This window comes from Homo sapiens, chromosome 3 (genome assembly GCF_000001405.40).
Source record: "Homo sapiens chromosome 3, GRCh38.p14 Primary Assembly".
In the NCBI taxonomy this organism is placed as follows: domain Eukaryota; kingdom Metazoa; phylum Chordata; class Mammalia; order Primates; family Hominidae; genus Homo; species Homo sapiens.
In genome coordinates, this window is record NC_000003.12 from 126,032,943 (window position 1) to 126,049,262 (window position 16,320).

The 16,320-nt window shown below is 41.4% G+C and overlaps 1 protein-coding gene across 27 annotated transcripts in view; it reads right to left on the reverse strand.

Annotated features, from left to right (window-relative positions):
* Positions 1–16,320, reverse strand: part of SLC41A3 (solute carrier family 41 member 3) — a 95,164-nt gene that overhangs the window by 26,586 nt on the left and 52,258 nt on the right. For all 27 annotated transcript variants that reach the window (NM_001164475.2, XM_005247563.3, XM_017006707.2 and 24 more), the window contains one exon: positions 665–736. In NM_001164475.2, coding sequence (NP_001157947.1) covers positions 665–736 — 72 coding nt within the window. The remainder of the gene's footprint in view (positions 1–664; positions 737–16,320) is intronic.

Consider the following 16,320-nt stretch of genomic DNA (forward strand, 5'->3'; position numbering starts at 1 on the left):
CAGCCTCTCCTCTTGCCTCTGAGCCAATCTTTTCCTCATCTCCCCCTGCCTTGGGCCTCCTAACTTAGTGACACTCTGTGGCAAGGTCCCAGGATAAGAGCTCAGTGGAACTGGGACCTGGGAGAAGGAGAAGGATGTGTGAGTGAGAGGAGCATGAAGCAGCTAAGGGGTTAAGATGTCTCTTGCAGGCTGAGAAGGAGCAGGCAGAGAGGCAGGAGCAGAGCCAAGGGAGGATTTCCAGGCAGGAAGGATCTACAGATGCCCAGAAAAAGTAAGATCACATGTAAGAGGCAATTACAGGTTGCCTCAGTTAGGGGAACACCTGTGGCCTGAGAAGCACAATTAGAGGCAAGAGAAGCCTGTTAGCACTGTGCAGTCCATGAGACAGAGAAGGAGCAAGTACAGGTGAGTCTTTCAAGAAGTGGGGCTTGGAAAGGAGGGAGTGGGGAAGCTGGAGGGACAACCCTGGGTCTGCTTCAGGTGGGCTGAGCCTCCAGAAGCTGCGTGAATGTGGTCTATTGGATGTGGGAGGGACAGGTAGCTACCTGTTCTCAAAGTTCAGGCCAGAGTGCAGGGACAAGAGCTCGCTTAGCCTTCACCCTTCCCACCTGGGGAAGCCTGGCTGCAGATTCAGAAGGGAGGGTCGGACAAGGTGAAGACTCACCTGGATGAGGGCCAGGTTGCTGCTGATGACTCTGTGCTGCTCCTGGGGGTCATCAATTTGTCCAGTGTTGGCCTAGAATGAAGAGAAAAGGACAAAGGTAGGACTGGCTAGGCCCAAAGCCAGGTCAACCCTTCCTGGGAAAGGCAGTCTCTCAGGGAAGAAATCAACAAATACCATTTCATCAGCGTCAGAAAAAAATTCCTCTGCTCAGCTCTCCAAACAGCGACCTGGCCTTCTTATACGGGGAGTGGGGAGAAACGTTAGGGCACAGACCCCTTTGAGAACTGGATGGGGGTCATGGATCAGTCCTCCATGACCATGCAAGCATATGACTGCACCACCTGCACACACACAGCGGTACACACACAGGCACACACAGCCACACAATGCATAGAGGCACACATGCATGCACACACACAGGCATTCATGTTACCAGCAATTTGAAGGCCATTTCTAGCTCTCAAACTCATGTGCAGACCTCAGTCAAGGCCTCCTACTGTGAAGCCCAGTCTTTGGCCAGGTCCCCCTGCCACCTACAACACCCTCCTCTACCCTGAAGCTAGCCTTATCTCCAATGACCACCAATCCGCTCAATGTCACCTTGGCAAAATCATCCCATTTAAGGAACACATATAAGTCTCTCTTCTCTTAGGATAAAAAACTGAGATCATAAATATGACTTTATCCTTTAAAAATGGTTTTTGGCTCCTAACAGCATAACACTTACCAACAAAATTCAAGACATAAATCAGAAAAGTTTTCAAAGCAAATATATTTTCCTAGATTCCTTAAACTCAGTTCATTAAGTTCCTGAACTCCAAGGAGAAAAATATAAAAATGTGCCTACTGCTAACACACTTGATAATTCATTTTCTTTTCACAGAGAAGGGGAGCCTTTTTGTCTTCAGCACGACTGACATCTGGGATGCGGCACCTGACTGTGGTTAGGCCTCAGTCCACTCTTGAGTAGATATGACACCCACCGCAGGTGTCCCTGTTTGAACAGTAAGGGAAGGAGGCAGGGTAGAGACTCAGTGGAACCCAGGGCGTGCTGAGCACGAGTGGCCAATGACTCACCCCTCTTCTGCTCTGCAGCTGCACTGTGTGTTCACTGAGACCTAAGTGTGCCTGTCTGCTGCTTCAACTCATGTTTTCTATTAATCAACCAGCTCCAACCTGGGTGCTGATCTTATCAGATAAGGGACTTGTGCTGGCCCATATGATTTCTGAGTATGAGTCGGAAAAGACACTCCTTTCTCAAAATATTTTTTATCATCTATAAAACAGTTAAAATAAAAGTACACATCTATAGCCTGTACAGCCCACGTGGCAGCCTGGCCCTTGCTGTGCATGTGAGCCTGAGTCCATCACTGGCATCCAGGAGCACATCACTGAGCGAAGGCTGCACAAAGCAGGAAGTGAGACCAAGAGGTAAAGCGGTGAGGGCAGGAGGCTGAGGAGCTCAGACATCCACAGAGGTGGGAGAGAGAGACATGAGAGGGGAAGAAGTATGGCAAGAGGTAGGGTGTAAAGGGATTAAGATTTCAGAGTGTCCAGAGTATTTCTGGGCCAGGGTGGCTGGAGTGGACTGAAGGTGGCACTCACCAGAGCTGAGCTGTCCAAAAACTCGGAGGCTTGGGTTGTGGATGAGTCATCCCTGTGGATGCTGAAACCTTCCAGGATGGTGGTGGGATTTAGTATAGAGAAGACCACTGAACACTACGTTTCCCAGGGCTGACCAAGCTGGTGATGAGGAGGGAAGGAGGCGAGATGGGACAGACAGGAAGCAGCATGCCAGCCAGGCCAACAGGAGCCACAGGAGCTGCGGGTTTGGGTGGAGGAACACAGACCGCTACCTAAGAGAAACAATCCTGACGCTTGTCAAAAACAGCAGAGGACCTCCTCCAAGACTATTGCCATGAGGGAGAAAGAGCGAAATCAACGCTGAACACTACAGGGATAACTGAGGGTGAAAAGCCAATGCGCAGGGCAAGGGAGCCGATGGAAATTACTAAGTGAATTCAGTTGGGTATCAAGGATGGAGGGAGCACTATGATCAGATACCAAGAGTGGAGAAGAAGAGCCTGGCTGGATATCAGGGTAGGGGATTTCCAGTAAACCGGCTTAGCAGGGCTCTTCTCTAGAACAGAGCCAGAAGGCAAGTGGAGAAGACAGCTCAGAGGAGCCTGACTTGGGTTTGGTCAAGGAAGGAGTGTTTGTCGCCACCCACGAGGGGGCTCTCGGGGGAGCAGGTCTCCATCAGGTAGGGATATTTTTCTGCCCTGGAATGGAGGTCCTAGAGATATCAGGGGAAATAGCTGCAGGCATGGGGCCAGTCTGAATAGGAATGAAGAGTTCAAAGAGAAAACCAGTGGGAGGCAGGAGCATCTACAGAGAGCAACCCAGATTTTCCTCAATAGAAGGGTTTCACAGAGGCCCTTCCTCGATGTGCATTTAAGATTTCATTGAATTTTTTAAAAAACTTCTTTGAATCTGACAATTCCAGGCTTCTACGAAAAATCTCACAGGATCCTGTCTCCGTTCTAGATTTTCTAAGCCTTTCCTTATTGTCTACGTAAAACAGCCTGCTTTCACTGACTCGGGGCGCCAGCGCCAAGTATTCTCCATGCACGCCTCGGGCCTGCTCTCCCTTGCACCAGCTCTGGGCCTGTGAGGCTGCCCTGTAAGGATGGCATCAACAAGCTCAACACACCCCCCTTGCCCTTTCACTTCTGGTTGGTTCTGGCCAATGGGGAGCCATTGGGAGGATACTGGAGGCCCAACAGTGAGTTTGGGGTGTATGACCCCTGCACCCTTCCTATGGGGCAGGGGCTGTAATCTTCCACCCAAACCCACAGCTCTGGTGGGTCAGCCTTCACCTACAGCTACACGCACAGCCCCAACCCCACCCGCCAGGATCTGGAAACTGCCTTTCTTCCCTCTGCCCCTTGAGAACTGGAGTGATACTCACTCCCTGTGGGTGTGAGTCCTGGGGTGCTTCGCTGCCTCTTCTTGGTTTCCTGAATGAACCCTTCCTGAAACTCCGCTCACTGCCCACCTGTATATCACCTCTCTCCTGCCAGGATCCTGACCTATCCAATGACTCATCCCTTCAGAAGGATATTTAGCTCACTCACATAATTTGTCATTACTTTCTGTATTTTTTTCTAATAACAAAATACACTTACTGGATTAAGATGGAAGATGGAACATCTGTTTTGCTATCCTTCTCCTTTCCAGATTGGGGTAAGACAATCCTTTAACATTTTATTTGGGAATAATTTTAGACTTCAGAAAAGTTTCAAAGTCAACAGAGAGAGCTCCTACATACCCTGCACCCAACCTCTCCTGATAATACTTATATAACCTGAGACAGTCACGCATATGGTTTGGATGTGTGTCTCCTCCAAATCTCATGTGGAAATGTGATCCCCAGTATTGGAGGTAGGATCTGATGGAAGGTGTCTGGGTCATGGGGGCAGATCCCTCATGAATGGCTTGGTGCCCTTCTCATAGTAATGAGTGAATTCTCACTCTGAGTTCACATGACAGCTAATTGTTTAAGAGTCTAGCACCTCCTTCCCTTCTCCTGCTCCCTCTCTTGCCATGTGATGCCTGCTCCCCTTCGCCTCCACCATGAATGGAAGCTTCCTGAGGCCTCCCCAGAAGCAGATGCCACCACTATGATTCTTGTACAGCCTGTAGAATTTGGAGGGCTCAGAAGAAGACAGGAAGATAAGGGAAAGTTTGGAACTTCGTACAGACTTGTTAAATGGTTTTGGCCAAAATGCTGATAGAGATATGGACAGAGAAGGCCAGGCTGATGAGGTCTCAGGTGGAAATGACAAAGTTATTGGGAACTAGAGAAAAGGTCACCCTTGTTACACCTTAGCATGGAACTTGGCTGCACTGTGCCCAGGCTCTAGGGATTTGTGGAAGGTTGAACTTAGGAGTGCTGTCTTAGGGTATCAGGCAGGAGAAATTTCTAAGGAGCAAATTTCTCAAGATGTGGTGTGGCTGCTTCTAACAACCTAAAAACAGATGTGGGGGCAAATGAATGACTAAAAGTTGAAACTTATATTTAAAAGAAAAGCAGAGCATACATTTTTGAAAAATTTGCAGCCTGGTCCTGTGGTAGAAAAGGAATCAAAGGGGCCTAAAGAGCAACCACTTTCTAGAGAGAAAAGGGAACCAGTGCTGATAGTCAACACAATGGGAAAAAAGCCTTGAAGGCATTTCAGATTTTTGAGGCAGCCCCTCCCATCACAGGTCCAGTGGCTTAGGAGGAAAGAATGGTTTTGGGGCCAGGGCACTGCTTCCCTACACAGCCCTGGGACACTGCTCCCAACATCCCTGGCTGTTCCAGCTTCAGCCATGGCTCAAAGAACATCAAGTACAGCTTCGGCTGCTGCTTCAGAGGATGCAAGTCTTACACCTTGGTGGCTCCCAGTGGTGTAAAGTCTGTCAGTGCATGGAATGCAAGAGTGAAGGAGGTTTGGCTGCTTCCACCTAGATTTCAAAGGATGTATGTGAAAGCCTGGGTGCCCAGATAGAAGCCTGCCACTGGGGCAGAGCCCCCACGGAGAAACCCTACTAGGGCAGTATCAAGGGGAAATGGGGGTTAGAGGCCACACAAAGCCCCCACTTGGCCAATGCCTAGTGGAGCTTGGGAAGGAGACCACCACCCTCCATACCCTAGAATAGTAGAGCCACCAGCCAGCTTGTACCATGTGCCTGGAAAAGCTGCAGGCACTCAATTCCCACTATGACAGCAGCCACAGAGGCTGCACCCTGGAAAGCCACAGGGGTAGAGAAGTCCAGAGGCCTTGGGAGCCCACCTCTCACACCAGTGTGCCCTGAACGCAGGACATGGAGTCAAGGGAGATTATTACGGAGCTTTAAAATGTAATGCCTGTCTGCTGGGCTTCAGACTTGCATGGGGCCTGTTGTTCCTTTCTTTCAACTGATTTCTGCCTTTTGGAATAAGAATGTTTACCTAATGCCTGTACTACCATTGCATCTTGGGAGTAAATCACTCATAAGTGGAAGAAATGTGCACTCGGTTTCAGATGAGACATTGGACTTTTGATTGAGTTGGTGCTGGAATGAGTTAAGACTTTTGGGGACTACTGGAAAGGGATGATTGTATTTTGTAATGGGAGAAGAATAAGATATTTGGTAGGCCAGGGAAAGAATGATCTGGTTTGGATATTTATCCCTTCCAAATCTCATGTTGAAATGTGATCCCCAGTGTTGGAGGTGGGGCCTGGTGGGAGGTGTTTGGGTCATGGGGGTGGATCCTTCATGATTGGCTGGGTGCCCTCCTCATGGTAATGAGTGAGTTCTTGCTCTGAGTTCACATGGGAGCTGATTAAGAGTTTAGCACCTCCTCCCTCCCTCTCGCTCCGTCTCTCACCATGTGACACACTGGCTCCCCTTCAGCTTCCACAATAATTGGAAGCTTCCTAAAGCCCTCACCAGAAGCAGATGCTGGCACCATGCTTCCTGTTCAGCCTGCAGCACTATATGCCAAATAAACCTCTTTTCTTTATAAATTACCCAGTCTCAAGTATTCCTTTAGAGCAACACAAATGGGCTAACACAGTCACCAAACTAAAAATTGAACACTGGTACAACACTAATAACTAAACTATAGAATGTATTCATATGTCCCCAGTTTTCTCACTAATGTCCTTTTTTATGTTCCAGGAAATAAATCAGGATTGCCCATTGCATTTAGCCACAGCTCCTGAATCTCATTGTAGAAGAATACAAATCAGCTATTTTATGGGATGTCTCTCAATTTGGGTTTCCCTGAGGCTTCCTCATGGTTAAACTGAGATTGTGCATTTTGAGGTAGAAGACCAGTGAGGTGAGGTGCCTCCACTGTGCACCCTGTCATGGGTGATAGCAGCGAGACTTGTCACCAATACTGCTGACCCAGGTCACTGCTGAGGTGGCGTCTGCCAGGTTTCTCCACTGCAAACACTATTTTTTTGCTTCCTATACTCTCAGTTAGAAATGAGTCGTTAGGTCTTGCCCACACTCAAGGGGAAGGAATTAAGCTTTAGCTCCTCTAAGGCAGTATATCCAAGATTTGAGGACATACGTTAAAACAACCAGACAATCCACACATATTTAAAAGAGATACTTTGAGGCTATGCAAAGATCCTACTTCTCTTTAAAGTCCCACACTCTAATAATGTATTAAGGGATCTTATCTGTGGATATGTGTACATACACAGGTTGGCATATATACATACATACGTTTCCTAGTTCAGTGCACTGAGAGGAACTAGAAGTGTGGCATCCCAGGAGCAACAAGTACACCCACTGCCCAGATCTTGTTTGCTAAATTCAGTTCTTCAATAAAAGGAGCCAGCTTCCTTAGGAAAATGGCTCATTAGGGCCAGGGCAAGGAAAATATAAGGTGTGTACCTGGAGTATCTGACAGTGCCAAAAAGTAAGGGAGTGCCCAAGAGCGGGTGGGGCATGTCAGGAAGCAGGAGCCATCTGAGCTAGAACCATTTCAGCAACAGAATAAATATGGGTGCTGGCTTTTAACCTCAAGAATATAGTAACTATCTATGCATCTATACATGTCATAAATATCTATCTACATACATATTACAATGAACTTGAGTTCATGCTTATTTCCAACTCTAATCCAGCATCACAGGATTCATTCTAGCATTGAGGAGATCGTTTTTAAAATGCACAAGAGTGCTGGAAAACAAGAAGAGGTATCTATGCTGTAACAGAAATGAAAAGGAATCCCTGAAGAATGGAAAGTGACAAATTGGGTTGACGAGAGAATTCATAACTGAAAACGACAGAGGAAAGGCCTATTGCAAAAGGCAGAGGTAGTCCTGGGGATAATGCGAGCAGAAGGGAGCCTGGAGCAGCTGAAAGGGCATTTGCTGCAGATACCTCTGCAGGAGCTTCAAGGAGGGTTGACCTTTCCCCTGCCTGCTTGGTTTGTGCCAAGAATGAGATGTGGCCACCTGGCCTGGCTCCAAGCAGATGCAGCGAGAGTGTTGGGGTCAGAGAGGCAGGGCAGTGCCCCAAGTGACCATGACAAGAGGGACACAGAGCCCCCTTACCCATGAAAAGAGTTACTGGCACAGTCTAGTCAACACATTCTGAGTGCCCTCCCTCCAATCTTTAGATTGGAGCCTCCTCTAAGGGCAGTATTCACAGATCTACGAGGTAAGTGTAAATCTAAAATAAAATGATGCACAAGCACCTCTTCACTAAAGGCAAGCCACAAGCCTCTGAGTTTGAAACTCAACAAAGTCAACCAATGGAAGTACAAAATCTAGGGAAACAGAATCAAAGTATGAAACTGAATAAGTATCTAGGATAAGTTAATTAAATGAGATGTCAGAGAATGGTCCTTCATAAATAAAAAGATAATTTTTAAGATTCCAGAAAGTACATACTTAATCTCTAAATTTAAAATAAAAAACAAAAACAAAATCTTTTCATTAGATGACTTCAATAGCACAGTGGTTGAAGAGACAGAGTGATGAAGAGTGAATCAGTGAAAAATTAAATGGAGCAGAAGAATTCTAGCAGAAATGTAGGGAGTATGAAAAGAGAGTTAAGAAACTCAAAAGGTAGACTCAGAAACTACAATATGTACCCAAATAGGAGTTATGGAGGGGGGGTGGGGGAATGAATATAAAAATACAAAAAATAATAAAGTTTTCTATAGAGCTGAAGACAGATGTCTTTAGATTGAAAAACTCCAAGATACATGCAAGATAATGCGAAAAACTCTATGCCAGAGACATCATGGTGAAATTCCATAACACAGATGATAAAAGAAAAAAATCTCCAAAAAGTCCAGATAGAAAGATAAACAAATTACCTAAAAGAAATGAGACTCAAAAGGGCGCAGGCTTCCATCAGCAACACTGGGCACAAGAAGATACTGAAAGTATAACTTCAGTACTGCAGGAACATAACTATGAACATTGCATTCCCTAGCCAGCCAGGCTGGCATTCAATGGTAAGGAAAAAGTAAAGCATTTTCCTACTCCAAATGTCCAAAGTTTACTTCCAACAAATCTTATCTAAAACAATTACTAGAGGATGTACTCAATCAAAACAAAAATAAATTTAAAAGGAAGCTGACAAAGAGTGGCACCAGCAAGATGGTGAATAGGCACCTCCAGGCCCTTGTTTCCGCACAGACACATCAAATAAGCAACACAGAGTGACCAAAATAGCTTTGAGGCAGCTCAGAAACCAGTTAAGATCTGCAGCAACCAAGAGAAAATCCAACCAAGAAAAAGCCACCCTCAAACCAGTAGGGAATTCCATGGTGTTTCTGCTTGCCCTTGCACCACCCCCTCCTCCACACAGCATGGTGCAGTTGGGAGGAACCACCTAATCCTAGAAAGAAAGAAGGAAAGAAAGGAATAGAACCTGCTGGCTATCCTCTGGCTTGCCTGAGGGCTGCCCAAGTAACTGGTTTCTGTCTGTCTCTCAAAAGCAAATGGAAATGGTGACACAGTTTGGACATTAGGATGAAGGCCACAGAGGTGCCCAACATATTAGAGTTCTCATGGAGGAAATGTAGGCCCATGCGTGCCTGGGGGAAAGAGATTATGGACAGAGGAACACAATAGAATGTCAAGGCCCTGAGAAGAAGCAGAGTTGACATTCTGAGGGATATTAAGACATTTAAAAGCAGCCATGTATATGGGGGAATTGGAGAGAAAAAGCACATCCACAGGCCCTGGGAGATGCATGCCAGAAAACCCCCGAAAAGACCTTAAGCCTTCATGCCAGACTAATTGGTGAAGATTTTTCCCTACACAGAGCCAGTCTGCAAAGATTTGGAGAGATGGCTGTTTTGCAAATACCTAATTTTTAATAAAAGATGAAAAAGGATACCAAAAAAAGTGAAACACAGTCTAGTCACAGGAACAAAAAAATTGACAGACACTGACCCTAAAGAAAGTCTTTGAGCTTGCAAAGACTTTAAAGCAACTGTCTTAAATATGTTCAGTGAGCTAAAGGACATATAACTTTAGGAAATTTAAAAAACAGATATGAACAAGATGAAAATATCAACAAAGAAACAGAAATCATAAAAAAAGAACCAAACAGAAATACTGGAACTGAAAAACACAATAATTGAATTGAAAAATTCTTTACAGAGGTTCAACAGCAAACTCTAAAAGTCTGAAGAATGAGCAAATTTGAAAACAGGTCATTTGAATTTATCAAGTCTGAAAGAACAAAAATAAATAAGATTTAAGAAAAGTGAATAAAACTTAATGGAATTACAGAACACTCAATTGTAATACATACAATTTGGAATTCCAGAAAGGAAAGAGATAAGTGGGCAGAGAGCTTATTTGAAGAAATGATGGCCAAAAACTTCCCAAATTTGAAAAAAAAAAAAGATATGAATATAGAAATGTAAGGTATATGAATTCCAAGTAGGATAAACTCAAAAAGATCAATACTGAGACACATTATAAACAAACTATTTGAAAGTCAAAAACAAAAAGAGAATCTTCAAAGCCAACAGAGGAAAGAGACTCATAACATACAAAAGATCCTCAATAAAATCATCAGTGGATTTCTCAGCATAAACTTGCAGTCCAGAGGTAATATTAATATATTTACAGTGCTGGATAAAAACACCTGTCAACTGAGAATTCTGTATCTGGCAAAACTATTTTACACAAATGAGGGAAAAATTAAGAAATTCCTAAATAAAAGCTAAGGGAGTTCATTATTACTAGATCTGCCCTACAAGAAATGGTAAAGAGAGTCATTCAAGTTGAAATGAAAGAATGCCAGACAGGAACTTGAAGCCAAATGAAAATATAATATTCTCCAATAAAGGTAAATGCACAAAAAAGTATTAAAAATTGTATTATTTTAAAATTGGTTTGTAAAAAATTTTATAAGCATTTAAAACACAAAAGCATAAAAATATATATTTAATAGGTACACAATATAAAAAGATATACTTTATGAGATCAATAACCAAGTTCAGAGGCAGAGCTATAAACAGTAGAGTTTTATATGCAATTGAAGTTAAGCTGCTATCAGTTTAAGGTAAATTGTAATAACTTTAGGATGTTGTATGTAATCCTCATGGTAACTACAAAGAAAACATTTATAAAATATAAACAAAAAGGAACTAAGAAGGCAATCAAAACATATCACTGCAAAAAAAAACAAAAAAACAAAAAAACAAAAAAAAAACACCCCAGAGGAAGGCAATAGGGAAGAAATAAGAGACAAAAAAGCTATTAAGACACAGAAAACAAATAAAATTGCAACGGTAAGTCCTTTCCTATCAGTAATTACTTTCAATGTAAATGGGTTAAATCCCTCAATCAAAATACAAAAACTAGCAGAATGGATTAAGAACAAAACAAAACAAAAAACAGGATTCAACTATATGTTGTCTATAAGAAATTCACTTTAGATTTAAGGACACACAAAGGTTTATTGTGAAAAGATGCTATAAGATATTCCATGCGAAGAGTAGCAAAAGAGGGCAGAGGTGGCTATGCTAATATGAGACAAAATGGACTTTAAGTCAAAAACCATTGCAAGATACAAAGAAAGACATTATGCAATGATACAAGGATGAAATCATTCCAAAGATAGAACAATTACAAATAGTGAAACATGTTTTACCAAACATCAAAGTTCCCAAAATACATGATGCAAACACTGACAGAACTGAAGAAAGAAACAGAGAGGTGTTCAATAATAGTTGGAGACTTCAATACCACATCATCAATGATGAATACAACAACCAGACAGAAGATCAGTAAGGAAACAGACGGTTTGAATAACACTAGGAACTGACTGGACCTAAAAGAAAATATACAAAACACTCCACCGAACAATGGAAGAATACACATTTTTCTCAATGAAATGTGAACATGAAACATTCTCCAAGACAGATCGTATATTAGGCCATGAAACCAGTCTTAATATATTTAAGAAGATTAAAATCATACAGAGGGCCGGGCGCAGTGGCTCACGCCTGTAATCCCAGCACTTTGGGAGGCCGAGACGGGTGGATCACGAGGTCAGGAGATCGAGACCATCCTGGATAACACAGTGAAACCCCATCTCTACTAAAAATACAAAAAAATTAGCCGGGCGTAGTGGTGGGCGCCTGTAGTCCCAGCTACTCAGGAGGCTGAGGCAGAAGAATGGCGTGAACCCGGGAGGCGGAGCTTGCAGTGAGCCAAGATGACGCCACTGCACTCCAGCCTGGGCGACAGAGCGAGACTCCATCTCAAAAAAAAAAAAAAAAAAAAAAAAAAAAATCATACAGAGTATATTTTCCAATCACAAGGGAGTAAAACTAGAAATCAATAGAAAGACAACAGAAGTATCTCCAAAAATGTGGAAATCAAGCAACATACACTTGAACAACCAGTGGGTCCAAAAAAAAATTCCAAAGTAAATTAGAAAATATCTCAAGACAAATGAAAATGAAAATACAACACATCATAATTTATAGGATGCAGTGAAAGCAGTTTTAAAGGGAAATTTATAGCTGTAATCAATTCCATTAAAAAAAGAAGACCTCAAATAAACCACCTAAACTTATACCTTAAGAAACTAAGAAAAGAGCAAACTAAACCTAAAGTTCACAGAAAGAAGGAAATAATAAAGATTATAGCAGGGATAAATAAAATAGAGAACAGAAAAATAACAGAGAAAAATCAATGAAACTAAGAATTGATTGGTTCCTCAAAAAAAAAAAAATCAATTCAAAAGCCTTTAGCTAAATTGACTAAGAAAAAAAAGAAGTCTCAAAAAACTATAATTAAAAATGAAAATGGGACAAAACTACTGATTCTACAGAAATAAAAAGGAATACAAGAAAGGAAATTGTATCCAAACACACTAGGCAGCCTAATTAAAATGGATATATTCCTCGAGAAACAATTTACCAGGACTGAATCATGGGAAATACAAAATCTGAATATACTGAAAACTAAGAAAATGAAATCAGTAATTAAAATCTCCCAACAAAGAAAACCCAGGACCAGAAGCCTTCACTAGTGAATTCTACCAAACATTTAAAGAAAAATTAACACCAATCCTCCATAAACTGTCCCAAAGAATTGAAGAGGGAGAAATACTTCCAAATTCATCCTATGAAACAGTGTTACCCTAATACCAAAGCCAGACAAAGACACTAGAAGAAAAACTACAGACCAATATCTGCTGGATATTGATGCAAAAATCTTCAAAAAATACTAATAAACTGAATACAACAGTATATTAAAAGGATTATGCACCATGACCAAGTGGGTTTGTTCCTGGAATACAAGATAGCTCCACATACAAAAATCAATCAATCCATGTTAACAGAATCAATGGGGGGAAAAAAAACCACATGATGAAAAAGCATCTGACAAAATTCAACACCTTTCTGTGATTAAAAAAAAAAAACACCCAACAAACTAGAAATAAAAGGAAACTACCTCAACATAATAAAGGTTATATGTGAAAATCCCACAGTAAACATCACTGTTAATGGTGGCAGACAAACTTTTGCTCTAAGATCAGGAACAGGACAAGGATGCCTGCTTTCACTACTTCTTTTTAACACACTACTAAAAGTTCTGGTCAGAGAAATTAGGCAAGAAATAAAAAAAGTAAAAGGTGTACAAATTAGAAAAGAAGAAGTAAAATTACCTCTGTTTGCAGATAATGTAATCTTATATGCTGAAAACTCTAAAGATTACACACACACACACACACACACACAAATTTTTATAATAAATGAATTCAGCAAAGATGAAGGATACAAAATCAACAAACAAAAATCAGTTGCGTTTCTATACAATAACAATGAATAATTCAAAAAAGAACTAAGAAACAATACCATTTATAATAGCATCAAAAGGAATAAAATACTTATGAATTAACTTAACCAAGAAGGCAAAAGACTAGTACACTAAAAACCACAAAGTGTTTCTGAAGAAATTCAAGAAGACACAAATAAATGAAAAGACATACCATATCCATGGACTGGAAGACTTAATATTGTTAAGATATCAATACTAGGCTGGGCATGGTGGCTCATGCCTGTAATCCCAGCACTTTGGGAGGTCGAGGTAGGTGGATCACTTGAGGTCAGGAGTTCAAGACCAGCCTGGCCAACATGATGAAACCACTTCTCTATTAAAAATACAAAAATTAGCCAGGCATGGTGGCAGGTGCCTGTAATCCCAGCTACTTGGGAGGCTGAGGCAGGAGAATTGTTTGAATCTGGGAGGTGGAGGTTGCAGTGAGTTGAGATGGCACAACTGCACTCCAGCCTGGGCAATGGAGCGAAACTCCATCTCAAAAAAAAAAAAAAAAGAAAAGAAAAGAAAGATGTCAATACTAGCTGAAGAATCTACAAATTTAATACAATCTCATCAAAACCTAAACATTAAAATATTTAAGCAAAAAAACTAAATGCTGGCCAGCACAGTGGCTCACACCTGTAATCCCAGCACTTTGGGAGGCCAAAATGGGCAAATAGCTTGAGCTCAGGAGTTTGAGACCAACCTGGGCAACATGGTGAAACCCTGTCTCTACAAAAAATACAAAAATTAGCTAGGTGCAGTGGTTCATGCCTGTGGTCCCAGCTACTCAGGAGGCTGAGGTGCGAAGATCACTTGAGCCTGGGAGGCAGAGGTTGCAGTAAGCCAGGTTCGTGCCACTGCACTCCAGCCTGGGTGACCCTGTCTCAAAACAAACAAACAAACAAACAAGAACTAAATGCTGTATTTTGATGAAACAGAAAAATACATTTATAGATTCCTATGGAATTTAAGGGACCCTGAATAGCCAAAACAATCTCAAGAAAGAACAAGGTTGGAGGTCTCATACTTCATGACTTCGAAACTTATTATAAAGCTACAGTAATCTAAATGGTGTGGTATAAAGACAGGCATGGAGATCAATGGAATAAAATATCCTGGAAATAAACCCTTAAATATATGGTCAAATGACAAGGGTGCCACGGACATTCAATGGGAAAAGGAGAGTCTTCAAAAAAATGGAGCTGGGAAAACGAAATATCCACATGCAAAAGAATGAAGTTGGATGCTTATGTTACACCATGTACAAAAATAAACTCTAAATGAATCAAAGACCTAAACAAAAATTCAAACTACAAAAGTCTCAAAAGAAAACATAGGCAAAAAGTTTCAAGGCATTAGATTTGGCAATGATTTCTTGGATATGATACCAAAAGCACAGGTGACAAAAGCAAAAATAGATGAACTACATGAAAATTAAAAACTTCTGTGCATTAAAGGACATAAGGCAAAAAGGTATCCTACAGAACTGGAGAAAGTATTTGCAAAGCATATACTGATAAGAGATTAATATTCAGAATATATAAGGAACTACGACTCAACAACAGAACAACCAAAAAAACTAATTAAAAAATGGGCAAAGGACTTGAATAGACAGTTTTCCAAAGAAGACATACAAACGGCCAATAAGCACATGAAAAGATGCTCACCATCACTAGTTATTAGAAAAATTTGTATTAATTTTATAAGCTAAAAGAAAGAGAATTGATAACTTTACAACATTGACTTTTGCCATTCAGGAACTTCTCTCTCCAAATTTTTATTTCTCTTTATAAAGCTTTGTAGTTTATTTGTATAGGTTTTGCCCATTTTGTTTTGAGGATTATTCTGAAACTACTTAAAAACTGGTTAATAGTTTGAAGGGAATCTCTTTTTAAATTATACCTTATAAACGACTATTTCCAGTGTGTACGGGAGTATATAGAGACATGTTTATGTATGTTCATGTATATATTTTATTTCATTTAGATGTTTTGAAACTGGCCTACTTTACCATTTGTTTTACAGTTTTCTAAGTGATTTGCTTAGATTTTCCAAGAAGGCAAGCATATCACTAATAAAATAAGTTTTTCTCTCCCTTTCCAATATTTAAGACTCTTACTTTCTTTTCCTAGTTTATTATACTAGCCAGAATACACAGAACAACATAAATAAAATATTCTTCTGTTTCAAGTTGCACTAAGAGTATCTTTGTAAGTCACATACGGGAGTTGAAGGCAAAACTAACAGATGGAGATTGAAGGTAGATCAAAGGGGGCCGGTATGGAGTAGGGGAGTGGGCTGCAACAGCAACAAGAACTTTCCAGGGAGATGGAGATGTTCTGTGTCTCAACTAGGGTCACAGCTACACAGGTGTATGTATTCGTCAAAAGTCATTGACCTGCACACTTAAACCCTCTGTTTTTATTGTTATCAATTTATACCTTAAGACTGATTTAAAAAAAAAAAACAAAGTAAAACCTTTGAAGGTTCTACTGTTATGATAATGTGTCTGCTCTCCTTTGACAGACTGTTGTAATGAATTACATTAATATGGCCAGGCGCGGTGGCTCACGCCTGTAATCCCAGCACTTTGGGAGGCCAAGGCGGGTGGATCACGAGGTCGGAAGTTCAAGAATTACATTAATAGTTCTTTTCTTCCTCTCATGTTTTACATATTTTAAGAGAATTAAAACACTGAGATACGATCGTTGTAGAGAAGTGTTTAAAATGTAGTTACGGGCTGGGCACGGTGGCTCATGCCTATAATCCCAGCACTTTGGGAGGCTGAGGCGGGCA